This window comes from Homo sapiens, chromosome 5 (genome assembly GCF_000001405.40).
Source record: "Homo sapiens chromosome 5, GRCh38.p14 Primary Assembly".
NCBI classification, from domain to species: Eukaryota; Metazoa; Chordata; class Mammalia; order Primates; family Hominidae; genus Homo; species Homo sapiens.
Genome location: NC_000005.10, coordinates 158,783,632 through 158,804,217, shown reverse-complemented (window position 1 = coordinate 158,804,217; position 20,586 = coordinate 158,783,632). Strand labels below are relative to the sequence as shown.

The 20,586-nt window shown below is 38.7% G+C and overlaps 1 protein-coding gene across 28 annotated transcripts in view; it reads left to right on the top strand.

Annotated features, from left to right (window-relative positions):
* Positions 1–20,586, top strand: part of EBF1 (EBF transcription factor 1) — a 403,997-nt gene that overhangs the window by 295,699 nt on the left and 87,712 nt on the right. For 14 of the 28 annotated variants that reach the window (NM_182708.3, NM_001324108.2, NM_001324106.2 and 11 more), the window contains one exon: positions 7,743–7,873. In NM_182708.3, coding sequence (NP_874367.1) covers positions 7,743–7,873 — 131 coding nt within the window. Of the gene's footprint in view, positions 1–7,739; positions 7,874–20,586 lie in introns of all 28 variants that reach the window. The other 14 variants (NM_001324107.2, NM_001324109.2, NM_001290360.3 and 11 more) reach the window with 1 other exon arrangement.

Genomic DNA, 20,586 nt, shown 5'->3' with positions numbered 1-20,586 from the left:
TGGAGCTACATTTCCAAATAGTGCCTGTGAATTTTTCCTTTTCTTCTTTTCTGCGAGAGCCATTAATGCTGTCAAAGCAAAGGGCATTCTTGCCAAATGAAGTCACTTTGGAATAAAGGATGAAAATCACTTGAAATTCTCAATCTCCTCATTTAATATTTAATAGGTTTAATTGCATCTAGTATGGAGAGATCTCTGTATCATGGGTTACATTTCTCCTTAAAGTGACAAACATCACACACACACACACACACACACACACACACAGACACACACACGACTCTTTTTCATATATAATACATGAATCTTTGCCAAGTATTATCTAGATATGCTAGTGGACAGGACAATAAATGCAGACAAATAACAAAATGAAATAAAAACCCTAATAAACAATAAAATGCTTAACTGCATAATGCAATTACTGAAGAAAATAAAGTAAGGCAGAAACAAATCCCTAGTAACACAAGTTAAAGCAACAGCATAAGTGTTATAAAGGCTGCTACACCTTGCATGAGGAAACTGTCAAATTTGTTTGTTTGTTTATTGGCTGAGTTTATTTGTTTATTTGGAGTTAGCATTCTGAAAGTGAAGTTTGCATACTCTGGTACCATGGTTCAGGTCAGGCATTCTAATTGCTTCTGGTTTCTAAAGCATCCAGTTGGAGAATGGATAAACAAAGAATAGATTTGCCTCCTGTGCATGGTGAAAATACAGAGGTCCAGTCTTCCAGCTGGAAGAAAACCTTCTGTTTGTCCTCTTGCCTGTCCAGTAGCTGCTAGTTTCAGGATCAAAGAAGGCAGGTTGTAGTGCTAAGGAGCTGTGAGCAGGAAGGTCATCATTCACTGAAAAAAAAAAAAAAAAAACACCAGCAAAAACAAGCATTCAGATCGAGCAGGAGGAAGAGATATCTGTGCGCTGAGTCCAAGTGGAATATTTTGTGCCCTCAATAGTCTCTCCGTTTCTCCCAAGTACAACATCACCAAAATTAAGGAGATAAAAGGGAGAAAAGCATGAGTTTTACGAGGTCACAAGTATCCCGTAGAAATGAGCTGAGCTCATGGGTTTTATGTTTTCTGCCAAGTCTCAAAAATTTGGGACAATAACATTAAAGTCGATTCCTCATTTCTGAAAAGTTTCCCATTAATATTCATTCCAGGCAAATGAGATCCTTAAAAAAACATTCTACTTTGGAGGGACTGTTGCCAGTTCCACCTACTCAGTACATTTAGTTGGATATGTTAGCAAGCAGCTGAACTGGGAGTTCTTAGGAAAGTCTTACAATAAAATACATAATCTGAACTGATGAGAGTATAGGGTATTCTCGTAAATAAACTCTAGTTAATGGGGAGCTGATGGTAATTATTATAGCAGCAACTAGCATACTATGTGGTGCATAGTAAAGCAACAAAACACAAGTAGGCATTTTCTGTGTATTTTGCTGGAACTCTGTGAGGTGAGTGCCCTTATGGAAACTACAACTTAAAGAAGGTAAGAGACTGTTTCAAGGTTGCACTAGGTGCTAGATGTGGAATTTGAACAACTGGAGCTCTTGCCCATTTTCAAATACAGTCATACTCCAAATGTTAAAATCAACTTAACATAATTTCATATTTCTGTCTTTACTCAGAAGCCAGTAAAGGCTAGTGCCAGTATTTTCACCTCCACTGTAAGCATCAGTGGTCTGCTTTGTAGAAATGCTCACTAATAGAGAGTTCTGGTTAATAGAATTCTGGAAAAGGAGAGTGTGCACGTTTTCCTACACCATATGTAATGGGAATGGAAAAGAACCTTATATCACCTTGAGATTTAGATTTAGATTTAGATTAGAAAATTTCTAAATTTGTACATTTTATCAACTCACAGAGTGTTGTTTCTCCAGTGTATTTAGATACAGGAATGGAGAAAAAAGCCAAACAATATATCTCTAATTAGGCTTTCATAATGTCACATCGATTGTCACAAATGCCTCATTTTGGGGATAAGATATGATAAATGCTGAACCTGGGTCATCTATATGGCTACCCCAAACAAGTGAGGTATTGATCACAGCACAGAGAGATTTCAGAAGGAAAAATAAGAGCAGCCCTAGGGCCCTGCTGATAGCTGCACACACCACTAATTCACCTCAATGGGCAGGCACCTCTGAGCTCAATTAACCCTTATTCCCAAGGCTACCCATAAAACCCGAGGTAAACATGGCTCTCCTGGCCCTTGCTTTCTATCAAAGAAATAGATCATTTCTATTGGAGGCTGAAGTGCGATTCCAGCTTATAAATTCACCTTGCTAATAAAGAGACTGATGCTCCCAGTGCGAGTGTGCAGGCACTTGAATCATGTAACACTTATTCTGTAAATCAGAAAATTTTAAACTACCGAGGGCATCTCTGATTTCTTCTGCCTTCTGTGGCTGTTCGAAGGAAATATAAATGCTCGGGAGATAGAGTAGGTGATAGCAAATGTCCCCTGGTGCAGTTGTCTGCACACAGAACATTAGTTGTTAAATACGTACTGGAGCTGAACGATTTCTTTCTTTCTTTTTTTTTTTTTTTTAATTCTTCCCTCTCTTTTCCTTCTCACCATGACCATTGTTCAAGAAGCAAATTGGAAATCTGGTAATTAGGCCCTGACTCACGGTGTAGTATTAGAGTCCTGAGCCAAAGTTCAACACCCTGAAATGAAATTTAAACCAATTAATCTGTTAGATTTTTATCGCTTGTCCGTGTTTTCTCAGCAATTCCCCCAGCACGTGGCCTTTGATCAACTCTCATACAAACGCTAAAATGTGTGCCTGCTGCTAGCAAGATGGGAATGACATTAACATGGTACTCATAAAACAATCAGAGCAGAGAAGCCCTCAAACAGGCAGGGCATAGTAATATTTAATAAAAGCACACACATAATCTTCAGAATTAGCATTTTGTGCCTTGCAGTACCTTTGGGAGAAGAGCTTTTATTTGTGGAGTGATCATTATTATAACAAAGAAGAGCTACCTAATAATTTCCATTTTAACTCTGCAATGTGCCATGAGCATTTCAGAGCCATTATGCTAAACTGTGGTAGGGTAATCATGTTATTGTCATAGTTTGAAGGAAGGAAAATCTCCTCTACTTTCGTGGCTGGTGAGGGGTGGGGGAAGGGATTTAAAAAAAGAGGCAAACCCCACCCCCTAACCCTAAACTTTTATTTTTAATGAGATTTAAAACCAGAAATTGGGTCACTGGCCTTGCGGATACTTATGAGTGTGAAAATTCATTGGAGAGGAAGAAAGAATCTTGTATTAATTAAATCAAAAATTTGCTGGTAAAAGTGGTTTTGTATTCAAACACCGCCCCCACATTCCATAATATTTGCTTGGAGATAGACTTGTATTGATTATCACATCCCTGTGCTGAATTGAACTCTTTCATAAATCTTTTCACAGTCAAATTCCACTGAATCCATCCACTGTGACTATTAAAAGTGATTTTTCCCTGTCTCCCCTCTGTTTCTCTCTGGGTATCCCAAATGTAAGAAACAAGTCCTTGGCTGCTTTGCATGTTGTCTGAGCTTTCTCAGAGAAAACATATCCAAAATGAGGAGAGAAGGGGAGGCTCAGGGTCAGCGCAGCTGTTTTGTTTGTTTTATTTTCCTTTTTTAAAATGTAATTTTGCTCTAAAAAGTACAACTGTTTGCTCTCATAGAATTAAATGTTCTGCTGCTACTTAATTTTTTAAATTATTATTACATAGTACCTTATTTGTACACATTGAAAAAATTTAAATCATACAAATATATAGGGAATAAATGTTAATAGTCCTCCTTTTCTGTCAACCCCAGTCTAGTTCTTTTTATAAGGACCTGCTGGGGACAGTTATACATATCCTTCCTTCCAGGCCTTTGTCCATCATACTTGTTCACATATAACTGCATGCATACTCATACTGGTTCATATACAGGTTCATATATATCATTTAAAAATCAACTTAATTACACTGTCCTTTAGTTTGCAAATTGTTTTTTTCACCTGCTAACCTATTTTGAAATCTTTCCATATCAGTTTATAGAATTGTTTTGTGTATTTTAATGACACTCCTAGTATTCTATCGTGTGAATATACCATAATTTCTTTAACCACCCCCTACTGGGAGCACCTAGACATCTGAATTTTTTGCTGTCAATACCGCAATGAACATTTGGGTACCTATAGTTTTAGCCACAATTGCAAGTATTTCCAGGTCTTCTTTTAGCCTGGCAGTTGTGTTGTGAGTAGGGTTAAAATGTAAAATAGCAGCCTGTGAGTTAAAGCCAGCCCACAAACATTTTGTTTGGCCTACGCATTAAAAAAATACTGAATTCGTTTCCAACATTGAAAGATTGAAAAATTTGACATAAAAATGTGGCTTCCTGGCTTCTTTGGAAAGATCACCAGAAACCCAGACGATGCTAGGCCTGCATTTTTATGGGGTCACCAAAGGCTGAAGCTGAGCAGTGCTGTCACCTTTCCCTGGGGCACGTGCAATTCACCAGCACCTTCCCGTTGCATTACAGATGTTGAGAAACAGTGGCCATTAATCTCATGCTTGTTCTGAGATCCTGAGCTGCTGCATTCGTTTGTATGTCTTGCCTTGGTCTACATGGGTCTGTGAATTCTTAACAATAGCTCTTGGGCCTGATTCTCTTTTGCTGGTCACAGGGTTTTCTACATTGCATTATTGACATGTTGGGGTTCTTCATTTATGGGGACTATCCCATGCATTCATGCATTGTTGGATACTTAGCATTCTTTAATTTAATTTAATTAATTAATTTATTTATTTATTTTAAGAGACAGAGTCTCACTCTGTCTGGAGTACAGTGGTGCAGTCATAGCTCACTGCAGCCTTGAACTCCTGGGCTCAAGCAATCCTTCTGCCTCAGCCTCCCCAGTAGCTAGTATGACAGGCTTGCACCTGGCTAGTTTTTAAAAAACCTTTCAAGAGACAGAGTCTTACTGTGTTGCCTGGGCCAGTCTTGAACTCTTGACCACAAGAGATCCTTTCACCTTGGCTTCCCAAAGTGCTGGGTTTACAGGTGTGAGCCACTATACCCAGTTTGACCTCCAGTTACTAAATACTACTAGCTTCCCCTCCTCATCCTCTCTCTCTGGGATAGCTCATGATTCCTTTACATATTTTTGAAATTTGTCAGTGGGGAGGTGTCACAGAGCTTCCCCTCAAGACTAATATGTTATAACAGATGTATAGGAGGAGCTTTGGAACCCTTAGAGGTCTAAACTTAGAAAGGTCTGAATGACTTACCTGCTCTAAGAATGGCATATAGTCTCGAAGCAGGGATGGTGGATGGTGCTGAGTGTAGAGGTAGGAGGGACTGAGGGGTGTGTCATTCTTCCTGGGGTACTTCCTTTAAGGCTTTATTTCTCTAAAACTAAGACAATGGTGTCAAATATTGTTTCCTCACCTGGTTATCTCTGGAAGCTTGATGCTCTTTCTTGCCTCTGAGGCATTGACATATAGCTTTGCTTCTGGAAAATTGCTCACAGTATTTGAAAACATTGCAACTTTCCTTGGGAAGTGTTTGAAAGCACATACACACGCATGCATGTACACCCACGTGACTTCTGTATCCTACGTATAACAAGTGGGAAAAAAGAGGGAAGGGGTCAAGTTCAAAACCAGCAGGTCTTGGCCATGCTATTTTAAGGCCTTTCCTGTAGGAGGGTTTCTCAAAGACACAGAAACACCCCCTTCCACCTCCCTTTGTGCAATGATGAGAAAGCCTGCAGGAGACCGTATTTAGCTAAAGAAATATGTGTGTGTGATTAAAAAAATAAAAATTAACAGAAATTCCAAAGCTAAAACTGATAATAAACACAAAGACCATTTTGTGATCTGTGTGGGTAATCTCAGGGTCAGCAATTAATGACCCCATTGGATTCCACAGTTTGACTCAGTCAGGACTCTCAAGACCAATTCAGTTAAACCAATAACCTGTTCTTCTCAGAAGTACTAGGGATATCATAACACCTTTTGTACTCCATTCTAGCAACTAAGTAGACTGAGTTATAAATTAAGAATTGATATTTGGGGACATTAACAAAATGTTTCCAAACTGCATATATTTTTAGAACTTTATGTAGTTGTTAAATATAGTTTATTTCTCTTATAACTTGCTTCAAATCATACATCATATGGTACCACTGGTTTGGGAGTACTTAATCATGCATTTAAACATTTTTTACTTTTAAAGGTCACTTTTGTTTAAGAAAAAGCCCTATAGTTGTGGAACACTGATCACAACCTCTATGTATGTTAAAAAATCAGACAAGAAATGTCAAGTCACGAATCATTTACATCTTCTTGATTAATTATTTTGTTTTTGGGAGAAAGTAGAGAAGAGAAAAGTCATCTGAACTGCCCAGTTTTAGTTGTAAATGCATTGCTATGAGTTCAGCCAACATGAAATGTTTAGTTTGGATATTTCCAAATTTCTCTGTGCAAATTTTTAAGATTAATTTGAATCAAAATCAAACCCATTCTATTTGTTTGTGTGGTGGCACGTGAGCAATGGTCCCACCGGGCTGGACTTAATATTTTCTTTCCTTCTTGCAAAAGTTAAAGCATGACATTTTGCCAAATTTGACAAAGTCCAAATATTTTTTTGCCAGTTTTTTCCCGTTAAAATTAACTAGTGCTCTCATTGGCTTCAATGCTCAGAAAGTCAGTCTTGGATACTTAATAAACTTTTTATTAAAGATGAGGGTCCCATTTTCTCTCCTTGAACAATATCTCCCTTTAGGATGTTGCTTTCTTGTTGTTCATAAAAATAATCATGAGAACAGAAGCATGACACTGTAGAGTTAAAAACCCTCAGTGGCACGAAGGTGCACCCTGAGAGATTTTAAAAACAATCCAAGAATTACATTTATGCCCAGCAATTCTGTTGAAAGTATGCCATGCTCATTAAACAAACCACCTCCAGTCTATTTGGAATCACAGTATTTGCAAATTATTTCCCATCTCCAAGGGCCATTTATAATGGAAAGAAAAGAGATATGAAATTTTGAAAAAGTCAATTCTAGGGTTTTATGCCTGGGAAAGACAGCAAAGCAAAGGTCATGGAAAACTCTGTGGTTGAGCCCTGACTCAGCTATTTGGTTACATAATTCACCCCGAGTGACCTGCATTCTTCACATCTGTAAAATGGGATCTATGACATTTATTTGAAAAAAAATCGTAATGATTTTTAATGAGACATGTTGCAATGTTAGTGTTTCAGACAGAAGGCATGGAGCAAGAATCATTTCCCGCTCCAGGCTCCTCTCTTTCTTAGTTTCCTATTGGATGGTAATGTTTATCTAAAAAAACGTAAGTTTTCTTTTCAGGAGATATATTTAACTATGAAGCAATTCTGTAAGGTTTCCAATATATTCCAGAAAGTCACCCATATTTAATAAGAAAAAAATCCTTAGCATTTCACAAATTAAAATTTGCTTTGTGTTTTATTTCATAAAGTTTCAGGTTTGATAAAGATTTGGGTAAAATATATGTATCTTAATAGAAACAATGAAAAGAATGCTTTTAAAAACTGAAGTTGCACCCTGAAGTTTCAGGTCCTAATGTGGCTGGGAAATGCTGAGATCTTGAGGGACTTTCTGTTAGTGAAAAGATAAAAGATTTTTTTTTTCCTTTTTCTCAAGTCTTCATCATTAAAGTTTGGTTCTAACAGCAGACTCCTTCTCTTTTTCATGTGTGTTGAAAAGCAGCTACTCCCTGTATCAAAGCCATCAGCCCGAGTGAAGGATGGACGACGGGAGGTGCGACTGTGATCATCATAGGGGACAATTTCTTTGATGGGTTACAGGTCATATTCGGTACCATGCTGGTCTGGAGTGAGGTAGGTGTTGTCTGAACATTAATATCTAATAGCTTGATCTAGTTGAAGATACTGTCTATACTTGAATTTCTAATAGAATGTGTAGACTCTAGTGGTGCCGCTCTGGGTGGGCCAGCTTCAGTCTACAGAATTTGGGGAAACTAGAAGAGTTGGTTTGGGTTTACCAGGAGGCAACAGTTACTACTGGAATGACTTCCTTTCTTTGGCCCATAAGCAATGGGAGAGCTTCTGTTTTGCAGTTTGTCTTCTTGGGCTTGCCATGGTGTGGAGGTCCTATTGTATGTTGGGAATTGAAGAGGAGATGCAAAGTCACAAGATGTATAGAAAAAGCCCATTCAAGTTTTAGCAAGGGTGTAATCTGTGACTATTTTGCAGAAAGAGTCTACGGTAGCCTGATCTTCAAGGAACATCATTCAATGGCAGCATAATCCAGGTGTAGGTGGTTCTTGACTTATTTGGTGACTATTCATCAGACAGAGTGATTTGCTGGGAGAACCTAGAACCACAAAGGGCTTTTTCTAGCTCTAGGAATTTACAGCTCTCAAGCATCTCAGTGTGTGACTGCAACCCCATGAAAATGACTATGTTCTAATTGTGCAGTACTGTCCAAGCACTGTGATTGTTCTTTTAACCTACCAGTTGACTTGTCTGGCAACCATCAGCATCAGCTCAAGATTACAAAACATGCATCCCGTTATATAGATGCCGTGGCAAATCTGCCATTGTGTTCTCAGTTCTGAGCCCCAGTTTCTTAGCCAGCATGCTCCGAGCACTCTCTCTTTCACTTCACTAAAGTTTAGAATAAAAACAATGTTAGGGTTACAAGGTACCATAGGGTTCATTCACCCCATTTGCTTTGTAAGCATGTAGTCATCCTAACTTACTGAGACTTACCATATGCTAGGCAATGTGCTAAACCTTGAGGTAGATCATCTCACCCTTCTTTCTACACTACGAGGTAGATACTCGTAGCATATTTCTTTTCTTGATAAGGATAGTGAAGCTCCAAGACAAATAGTTACATAGCCAGAGAGCAGCTGCCCAAAGCCTATAGAATGTAAGTGATTTGTATATGGCCACACAAAGATTTCCATTTCTAGCTGTGCTCCCGTGACACTGGTTTAGCCTATTTCTTTGTGTTGTTTTCTCTCTAGAGGGGCCATGCAGATGAGCAGAAAGTTAAGACTGTGATACTTGGGTATGTTTGTCTTTCCAGAACAGACGCTGTTCTTTGTAAGCCTTCTGTGTATACTGCTTACTGCCAGTAACCCACTCAGGCAGGCCCCTTGCTAGCTTGTGCTGCTGCTGCCTTGGTATTTTCTACTCAGCAAACAAGGGGTATGCATTTGGTCGTAGAATCAAAGTTCTCATAAAGCCAAATCAGAGATGAGCTTCCCAGCCCACTCAACTAATTTTTAGGCAAGATGGAACATTTCAGGTATGAAAGGTGGAGTAACTTCCCCTTGCCAACTGTACTCTATGTTTTGTTGAAACTATTGGGTTGTAAATTAGAAGCATCAAATTCATGGCATGTTTTGCTGCCAGCCTGCTGTCTTCCTCCTGCTGGAGACAGCAGTCCTCATGAGGACAGACTGTCCCAGGTCTTGTGGGCTGTATCTTCTACCTTTTCCATCTTTCTTTCTGTTGCTTATCAAGGAAGTTGAGAGATGGGAAGAGTAAATATAATACGGACTCCTTGTTTCATGTCATTGTAGTCAAAGTGGAGCTCAAAATTGGCATTAAAAATTACTGACCCTTTGAGAAGGAGGTGGGTTAGTCTGAAGCTTCCTGTAAAACCTTGTGCCTTCTTAACCCAAGTGGACTCCATTGAATATGGAATAAGGACACATCAGGAAATCATGCATTTGCACCTCTGCCTTACGCTTAATCAAGGTCCCTCCATTTTTTCTCACTTTCCTACTTTCTTGACCTGTTTTGGGAACAGCAAAGGGAGGTTAGCATGTAACTTGGATTTATCCAAATTGCTTTAAAGGATCTGTTTCTATATAACAAAATTGATGAAAGTCATAGGAAGGAAAACCCATTAATGTAATATCTTTGTCCTCCTCCCTCCTCTGTCCCTCCAGTGCCACTGCCTTGTGTGTGCCAGGAGCCCCTCTTCACTCTGTCCCAGGGGTCAGGGTGGGTCCAGCCAGGAGCTGAGGGTGGAGGATGCATGCTCCTTCATTGTCCAGCCCCTGCTTTCGTGCTGCTCTTGGTTGTAGCTATGTCATAAATCAACTATGACCCTGTCCTGGTGCAAACTGTTTCCCAAAATATTTGTGCAGATCTTCTTTTAAAACAAGCAAATCCAACTGCATTAGCAGTTGGGTACCTGGATGTAGGACTTTAAATTGGGCTGTTATCATCATGATTGTCCTGATGTTCAGAAGAATGATCCTTGTAGAAGTGAACCCTTTTTTGTAATATTCTAAACTATTTCTATATTTAGGTTTTCGTACAGGCTACTTGGCACACACAATTTTCTCTGCCTTTTCATGCAGGGAGAGAATTTGATACTGCCCCAAATAAAGAAATCCATTGTATAATGGTGGGAATGGAGAAATAGCTCAGACTTGCTAAGGGTTCATCATGTGTAGGCACTTTATGGGTATTACTTTAAGCCTCACAATAGGCTTGTATGCAATACTCCTGTTATTCTAATTTTACATATGAGTAAACTGAGTTTCAGAGAGGTTAAAAAGCTTGCCCAAGGTTACACAGCCAGATAGGACTAGAGACTGGATTTGAACTATACCATATTTTTTTTATAAAGGAAGGAAAAGTCCTAGTTAATAAGAGAGCACATGCAATCTTGAGAGAGGGAAGAATGACAGAAAGAGGAAAGAAAGAAAAAAAATGAGGTTTCATAAGCCAGGTGGTATAGTAGTAGAAAGTAGTAATAGTAATTGTAGTAGTGATGATGGTTGTTTTTAATCGAATAAAATTACATGAGTGCCTTTTATTTTTGTAGAAGCAGAAAAATATTAACCAAGTTTGAGGCCATTTGTCAAGGCTTGCATTGTACAGAATCAGAATTTGATCAGAAGACATCTAAGAAAAAGCTACAGAAAATGCAGAGTGTGACTAATATTAGCTAACATTCATTCACTGAGCACTTAGTTCCTGCCAGGCAATATGATAAATGTTTGGTAGTGCTCTTGTGGGATTCTCACCACTGCGTATGATGTTGTTCTCATTTTACTGATGAGGAAATTGAAGCTTGGGGAAGTTAAATAAGTAAGTGGTTCAGTTGCCAAGTGGTAGAGAGATGGGACTTGAACCCAAACAGTCCAACCCCAGGGCTTACCTTCTTAACTTTCATAATTTAGCCTGTGCCACCATTTTTATCATAGGGTGTTATCAGATCAGGGTGATAGGCTCACATTGCCATGATGTCTTGTGCTGGGGGTGCCTTAACAGTTGCTGTTACCTTCCAAGGTCAGGTAGAATTGGCATGTACAGACTCAGAGAGGTAAGAGGGCTTCCCTTCATCTTCCAGTTGTATATGTTTGTGATCGGCACCACTGGATTCTAGGTAGAATTTATCTTTATGAAGTAAAGGATACATGCCTACGCTAGGGCAAGACAGTTCACCTGTTTAGCCTCATCTCTAGAGCTGGATCCCTGTCCATCCAAAGTCTTTGCCCCAGACCACATGATCTTGAGGTTTGTGCCATGTCTAAGATCCAGGCCTTCTAATTTTAAGTAGACTTTTATCACTTCTGCATTTCCTTACTCTATACCCAACACACCCAGGAAGCAGGCTGGCAGGCTAGGACAAGTGGATAACATTTTAGATTAGCAGCTAATGCCATTATTTAGAGTCTTTTTTTAGCTAAAGAATTTTTTAAAGAGCCAGAGAAAATCAGGCTGGCTTAACAGACTCTAATCTGTGCTCTTTCCCTACCAATCCAATCTTCTGCCAATGAGTAGTTCAGTTTAGCTCATGGATCACCCCCTGAGGGGTGGGAAGAAGAAAGGGGCACTTTATTGCTCCTAACTCAGCTCTGCCTTCTGCGAGCTCCCAAGTTCACATGGCGTTCTTGTGAATTTGATTTGCCCCCTTCCTCTTTCTTTATTGTTTCTTGCGATTTCTCCTCTCCCTCTTTTTAGAAAGTAAATTATTTTACTCTTATTCTTGTGCTCCTTGCCCTGTCCTACTCTAAAAGTCTTTTAAAAAATTGTTTTAGTATTTTATATACAAATCTAGGAAAACTAGCAGGGTTGATGTGTGATGTTTAATGTGGGGTGAGATTATTTTTCTTGACCAGAGCCGCACTTGGTTGTTTTGCTTTTCTACCAACATGTGATTTGGAGCAGGGAGGGGCTCCTGCTTCTGGTGTGCAGAACTAATTGTTAGTTTAATATCTCCTCTGAATTCCTCCAATTTCTAAAGAGTGAGCACTGGTTGGCTTGCCTGCTGGGTGTCTAGCACTGGGATAGGTACCATGGGTAATTAAAGTTGGGCTTTGTGGGATCTGGTGTTTTATTTGGAAAGACAACTTGCTTCCATGCAGCAAATTAGAGAGTTACATAATATATTTATATAATCTAGTATTAAATTGGTAGTTTACAATTCACGCTAAGTTCTGGAAAGCAGAGAGAGTGGTGTAGTCAGAAGTAGATGGTTTGAATGACCAATCAAGTTCCTCTTACATATGGATGTAGCTCTGTGTTAGGTATGTTAGGCTCTCATGACCCTTTTATTTTATCACAGAATTTATACAATTTAGAGTATTTAAGCTGTCAATTAAAAAAAAAAGTACAATGGTGGGTTTCGTGGGGAGCAGAGAATAATATTCCAGGCTGCAAGGGTTGAGATTGCATGGGGTAGCAGTGGATAAGGAACCAATTGAGAGACTTGGGTATTGATTGTCCTTCCATTGCCCAATCAGAGGATATAGATTTAGTCATTGTTGGTCGCTGGACCTCAGTTTCTCATCTGAAAATGAAAGACTTAGTCTATATCCTCTTTGAAATCAGTGCTACAATTCTAGCAATTCCTTTTTTTTTTTTTTTTTTTGAGATGGAATCTTGCTCTGTTGCTCAGGCTGGAGTGCAGTGGCATGGTCTCAGCCCACTGCAACCTCCACTTCCCAGGTTCAAGCGATTCTCCTGCCTCAGCCTCCCAAGTAGCTGGGACTACAGGTGCGTGCCACCACACCCAGCTAATCTTTGTATTTTTAGTAGAGACGGGGTTTTGCCGTGTTGGCCAGGCTGGTCTCAAACTCCTGACATCGTGATCTGCCCGCCTCAGCCTCCCGAAGTGCTTGGATTACAGGCATGAGTGACTGCACCCAGCCTAGTGATTCCTTTTAGAGTTTATTCCCCTGAGAATCCTCCCACAGTCAGAAGGGGACAGTGGTGGCAGGTGGAAACTGCTCCTTTTCTTCCACTATTGTTCTTTTCTTTCAGAGCACACTTGCAATACACAGATGTGATGTTGATTTGCAAAAGAATTATTTAAACTTCATCAAAACAATTTAATTGGCCACAAAACTGCATCTCCCTATTGATAGGTCTTTAGTCAATATTTTTACTCTCTATGCTTCAGATTCTGGTATCTGATATAAATCTGAGACTTACGCCACAGTGTTGGCCTAATTCGTCTTCTAGATAATGTTATGGAAGACTAGTTCTTCAGGATATTAATAGATACCCATTGGGAGATGAGAGAGGGAGGTTTTTCCTGGTAAGTTTGGGAAATGCTGAGTCAAATTCTGCTGGTCTTTCTTCTAGGGCTTTGCACAACGTTTGAGGTACTAGCATGCACCGCAAATACTTAGATGCAGTATTCAGCATGTCCCAAACTTTTGTGAAGGCAGAACTCTTTTTTTTTTCCCCAAGGATCACCTTACAGGGAGATATATTGGTGATGGCTGAAGTGCATTTTGATTTCATGTTAATGGAGCCAAGTCATGAAATTCAATCACAAAGTGGTTGGACTGGGATAGATGTGAGAAAACCATCTTAAATATTTGCAGAATATCATTCAGATTAGACCAGGAATGTTTAGAGCCATTATTCTCCAATGCTGCAAGGCTTTGAACAAAATTTCCCTCATATTTTGCATCTGGTTTTAGTCAGTACACACTTGGCATTAGATGCTATATGATTTTGTAGGGCAGCTATATTTAAAGATTGCCAGTACCACTTAGCTCAGATGGATGAAGCCAAAGTTTCCTCGTGTGTGAAGCAATTAGTCTCACACAGGTTCTCCTCGTTGTCTTTATCCAGATGCATGCTTTCTTCAGCTACATTCCCAGACACGGGGCATGAAGTCAAAAGAAACCTCTGGGGGAGACCTGTGAGTGAATATAGTTGGGTAAATGGTGGTTTAGGGGCTCAGAAGCAATTTTGCCACTTAAATCAAAAAATTGGAAAACCAAGTGGTAAATGCAGTCCTTCATTTCTTTCTTTCTTCCTATCTATCTCTACTTTCCATTCTCCTTTGTACACATAGCTCAGAGGAATGATTGTCAATAAACAAGAGGATTGGCTTCCCTATGATATTCAAGAGTGGTTGACTAAGATGCATACAGGTATTCCACCGGAAGTTTCCCAGGCCTTTTTGCCCGGCCTTGACTCTTACTGAACCACATGTAGAGTCACCACATTTTAAGGGCCTTGAGAAACCTTTTTTCAGTCAAGTATAGTTTCTTATTTTGTGAGGAAAAAGAGACTTCACAGTGGTAGGGTGGCTTGTCCTGGGAGCATATTATCTACTTAATGCTGGGCTCAGAGCCCAGTTCTCTTGACATCCAGCTTCACCCCCATTCAGCTTTTGGTTATACCAGATTTTCTCATGAAATTTCCATGGGCTTTTAACATACTTCCAGAAATTTACCAAACCTTCCTAAATTTTATACATAATTGCCCTAACACTCTGAAGACTTATCTATACCACCTTTTATGTGAGATACAGCTCCACTAAAATAAAAAAGAAAATTAAGACGGAGAAAGACATTATGTCAAATATTACCTCTTTCAAAATGTCATGATAGAAATGTAATACAATGTAAATAGTTGTGTCCATTTATTTTACATATATTGAGGCTTACATGTATAAATTTAATTCAAAGTTGATTAAATGTGTGGATTTAAAATAACTCCTAGTTGCCTATTTTTTTCTAAATATGTTTCATGTCCTATATTTAACCTGTGCTTATTGACCATCTATTATATAGAAGTTGCTTTGTGCAAAATTATAAACTTTATTTGTTAACAAATTTAAAAGCAGTCTGGATTAGTTGCATTAAACTTTGAATATGACTTTGAAGAACAACTTTCAAGCCCAAGTAATTTTATGAGAAATCATTTCTAAATGAGCCAGCATATTAAAAAAAAAACAGATAAAAATGGTCTAATGGCCTTTTTAATATAGTTACATAGTTACAGCCATGCTCACTTTATTCCTAAGAAGCCTTAGTCTATATTGTTATTTTTGATGACTGAGGCACTTGAAATCTATTTTCTATGTTGATAATTATGAAATAGTTAAAAAAAGACTTTAAGATGACATTTTCAGCTCATTATTTACAGCGTGTTCAGGAGGTACACGTGTCTGTAACTTGAAAATAGGAACCACAGAAGTGTGATGAATTTCTAATTTTCATATGAATCAATGACAGAATTCACACCTGGCTGCAGTCATGTGACTTTTATGAAGAAAATGAATATTTATGGATATCTAGATAGTGCTGTATTCCTTTCTTGCTGATTGCTGATCACTAGGTTGGCTCCCTGATACCCTGAACTAAATAAAGCCTTCTACCTTATACAACCTTTACTGGCTTTCTCTTTTCTAAAGCCACAACTTCTTTGGGATTCAAGCACACCACCTTGACTCCAACCTTTCTTTTCAACATCCTCAACCAACATTCATTTTAATTTATGTTCTATTCCATTGACTTGTTAGCTGCTCCTTGTACCTGCAGTAACTTTTCTCCCTGTCTTGCTGGTGCCATTGCTCTCCATGGGATCCTTTTCCCTCCTTTCTGTGCCCATATCCCTCTGCCCTTTAAGATCCTGTAAAATACCACCTTTTTCTCTGGAATCTTCCCATATGACTCCAGGTATAGAATATTTTCTCTTCTGTCTAAATTCTTATGTTGCCTTATTTCTACCATACTGTGTTCCTTATACCTTTCCATCTTTAATTATCCTGATTTAAGGGCATTCCCTCTTCCTTGAATGCAGGATCCAGGATAAATACAGCTTAATTTTCTGTGATGCCCAGCACAGAGCTTTGCACTTCTGAGGCATTAGTGAAAATTTGTTGAATGACACTATTTCCCCTTTCATTCATTCATTCATTCAGTCAAACAAATGCTCCCTAATAGCAACTGTTGTAGTTGACAATGCTTGAAAGTGTCAGTACTAGACAGATTGTGGTCCAGGTTTTGCTAATGCATGTATGGGTAGGTAGTTTATATTTAGATATAATTGTTGTGTAATAAGTATGCACATAAATGTCTTAATGTAAATCTATTGGTGATGGTGAAGATTGAGTAGTAATAGAAGTAACACGTGTTGACTGATTGATACAAGTGATGCCTTTTCCTACACTTGTTACAGGAATTGTGTCAATTAATCCTTGTAATAAACTATCAGATAACAAGTCCCATCCTACTCTCTCCCCCTTTCCCCAATAAGGAAACTGAAGGTCACAGAGGTTGAGTGACTTTCCAAAGGTCCCACAGCTGATTATTGACAAGGCTTGGATTTGAATCAAAGTCCACCTGACTCCATAGCTATCTCTTAACTATCTAATATGAATGTAATAAAATTCATTTATCCAGAGATGTGTTATAATAATCTCAACTCCCTAAAATTCAGCATGAAACCAGAAGCAAGCCAAAAAAGTAAATAAAATAAAAAGCTTTGGGTTAATGAGAACAATACTTCTTAACAAACTATGTTATCTGTTTTCCTAGGTCACAGCAAATTAGGAGGCCCAAACTAGAGGAAGATCATGTGTGGAGGCAGGCTATTGGATACAGGCTCAGTGACAGCTGATGGCCTGATGTCTAGGGAAGAAATGGAAAGCCGAAAAAGCAAACACAGAACTATATTACTGTGCAGCTCATTAATGACAGTGGCCCTGAGTAATCAAAAAAGAGCTGGCAATTATATTTAGTATATTCTATTTAAAACAGCAGGATATATATAAGGCAACCTTGAAAGACTTTCAGCAGAAGCAGTTGTACAGCCACATTATTAAAAGGGGTTTGGCTTCAGTTTTTTGTAGTGCTTACTTTTATTACATCTCTGAGTTCCTGAATGAACACGTTAAGTGAGGAATTACTGGTTGCATGTGCTAGTATCAATGTATATCATATCTAGATATGACAAACACCACAAAAAATGTTAGAGTGAGTCTCTGTATCGTAAAGCTTTGACATCTTTTTTTGTTTGTTTTTAAGCTTGGAGAGACTCTACAAGTCTTTTGGTGAAAGGTGAATTTATTCCCTGACTACTTTATCAGTCTTTTGGCTTTTATATTTTTCTTTACTAATTCCATAGGCAAAGATTCTGCCATGTGAATTGCCAATGTTGATAACAAGCATTCATCCCCTTCCATAAATGCATTCTGATTTCCTTTTCCTTTTATATTTTAATTTTCAAACAAACAAGCAAGGAACATAGGACACTGAGCCAGGCCTGAGTAGGGAATGATGTTCCTTCTTGACTGAATTTAGAAAAACAAGCCTTGAGAAAGAGCTCATTGTGCAGCCTCAAACCACAGGGGCTGGCGTTGCTGGTGTCTGATGCTCTCCTTCTGGAATACCCTGGGCCTCAGGAACTCACCCTTGCTTTTCCAGCTCCCAGATGGTCAGGATGGGATCCAGTCTTTAATGGGGCCCAACTGGCACAAGATCTACATCCTGGGAAGAGAGCTGGAGAAAGTTTATTTAAAAAATAAATTACAAAATAAATAAATAAATAACCCACAAAACCAGAGGTAGTGGAAGCATAATGTATTTACTTCAGTCTTTTTTCTCCCAAATCTGTTATTTTGAAAGATGATCTTGTTGCCATTTTGTTTTGTACAATTAACTGCATTGATTTCGGGACCTGGTTAGATGCCTGGTCAGAACTGGGCAGTATATTTCTGTGAATGCTTAATGAGGATACCAGGAAGTTTGTGGTGGAAAGTAAAAAGTTTTTTTTTTGTTGTTGTTTGTTTGGGAATTTTTTAGTAAAAAGAATTCTGAATGGAGTGGTGTTGATTATTTCCTTTTTGTAGATTCATAAGAAACTTTAGTGAATCTTTATCTTAATTATTAGTGGTGGCTAATGGCATCACGATATTTATTCATTCAATGTTCAAGTATTTATTGAGTGACTACTAGTTCCAGGGCCTTGTTAAACACTGGAAACATAGCAAAAACAAAGAAGGCCAAGGTCATATCCTTATGGGGCTGATATTCTACTTAGGGGGACACGGACAATGAATAGGAAAGCATATCTACATCTCTCTACCATCCATCTGAGTCTATGTCGATATCTATATTGAGAGAAATTTCAGTGTTAAGTAACATGACTGACTATTCAAAAGCTAGATTTTAAGTCCCCCATTTAACTCAATTCCTGAGACTTTAATTTCAAAAGTCTCCTTTGACATTCATACATAAAGTTTATCTTTAAGGATTCATGTGACTCAGCATATTTTGGTAAACATCGGTTTAAAGTTATTTTCTTGAAAGGACAAAAGGAAACCAGAATTTTTGTGAAACAGTAAATGCCTCCTCTGGCTTTTTCTCACGTTCTCTGAGAAATCATACACTGCTTTTGAGACAGGCAATTCTTGGGAATGAAAGAATCTGTGTTATGAAACCCAGAGAACTCTGATTAGGGAACAAACCAAAACACACCAAGGAACTCAGAAGAAGAGCTGGCATCCCCTGATTTATGTGGTAGCCACTTCAGGGAAATAGAGATATAATATGGAGGTTCAGCCAGCACAGTCGCCAAGAATATATACTTTTCATATTTCAGCTTCCTTTAGCAACCCTGAAAATAATATATTTTAAATGCCGTGTCTAACTCCAAAAAGATGCATGTTTCAGAGTAGTGGAGGGAAAACAAGTTTGCCTGTTTGTTCCCTAACACCTTGGTATCTCTTTAAAAATCCGTAGTTTGATTTGGTTCTAGAGCTTTAATTATGCTTTTATGTTACAGTTTTCTTATTTAAGTGTCTGCTTCATGTCTATCACTCAGTACCCCCTGCCTATCTCAAAAGAGATGGATATTATTATCCTAACTGAGGAGAAGGGAGAATGCTGTGAGAATTATTAATACATAAATTAAAAAATTAATCTGGAAAGTGCTTTAGGGTCCCCAGAGAAGCTCTACCCAAACATAAAGCATGTATAATATTATTATCAGCACCTCCACAGAGCACATAGGAGCTGGTGCAGTATAAGATTAGTAAACTGAGGCACAGAGGGTGTCAATGAGTGAATGGGCTAGCATGCCTTAGAACGCAGACCCTTCAATGGGTAACATCTAAAAACCACCTTGCCAGTGCCCACTTTAGGCTTTTTCTAGCCACAAATGCTCATTATTTTTCCAGAGAAGAAACATTTCCTTCCTTTTATCCCTTCTCTTTGAGTCTTTGCTTGTTTTGGACTTTTTTTCTTTACTTTTAAGTGTTGAAGGTGATTAAGGTTAAAATATTAGGTCCTAAACCTAGTAATGAGAAATCGCTGGTGTGCTTTCTAGTAACCCCAGTTATTTTTTGGCTTTGTGGCTTGCAACTTCAACTTGCATTTATTTTACCTACTCCTATTGGTTGGAAAACATGGATAAAGGCTTATCTTGGAATTGCTTTTTTGTTTTCCTTGGGAATCATTCTCAGCTTGCCTTTCACCAGTGAGGAAAGTTGTTTTGAGTGGCCACTATGTTCCCAGTTCATTTCAAGGTATGGGAAAAGCTGCAGATACAATCCATGCTTTCAAAGGCAGAGGTCAGATGCAAAGTACATGTACCAGGAATTATGGAAAAACAATGAACAGTCATATGAACAGATAGTCATGGTTGTATAATGATGGTCATTAGTCAGGCCGACTGGCCACTTCCAGTTGGTTTCTTGATCATATTTCTTAACTTTCCTGAAACTTATTTTTCTCATCTATGAACCAGCTAATAATCATACCTACCCCATAATACTACAGGATGTAAATCACTGAAAGAGTTTAACATAGCGCTTGACATATGGGAAAAAGACAACAAAAGGTCATTATAGTTGAAGTCGTTATCAAGGTCATTACCATCATCAATTTAGTGAGAACTAGAACAATATAGATAATAAAAGCTGCGGAATTCTACAACATGCTTCCACTCATATTTTTAAACACTAGATACTCTCATTTACCTACCATGTGGGCCATACTTTTGATATGATGGGAGGCTGTCTAATACGCATGTAGAAGATTGTCCTCTTCCCTGCCTCTCTTCTGGGCTTCCAGACTTTGCAGGCTGCCTCTTTGGAGTTCTACGTGCACAGCTGCATGAACTACCATGCATTCTCTCTCCTGATTTCAGCTCTTCTGTCAAGGAGAGGCCCCATTCAACCACCTTCATGTCTGGCTCCATCTTGTCATGGCCACAGTGGCTTTACTTTGTACCCAGAGGCCACAGTGGGCATATCTCGCCTGGCTAACCCCCACAGGATTCTTCAGGTTCTGTGGTCTGAGTCTGGAGAA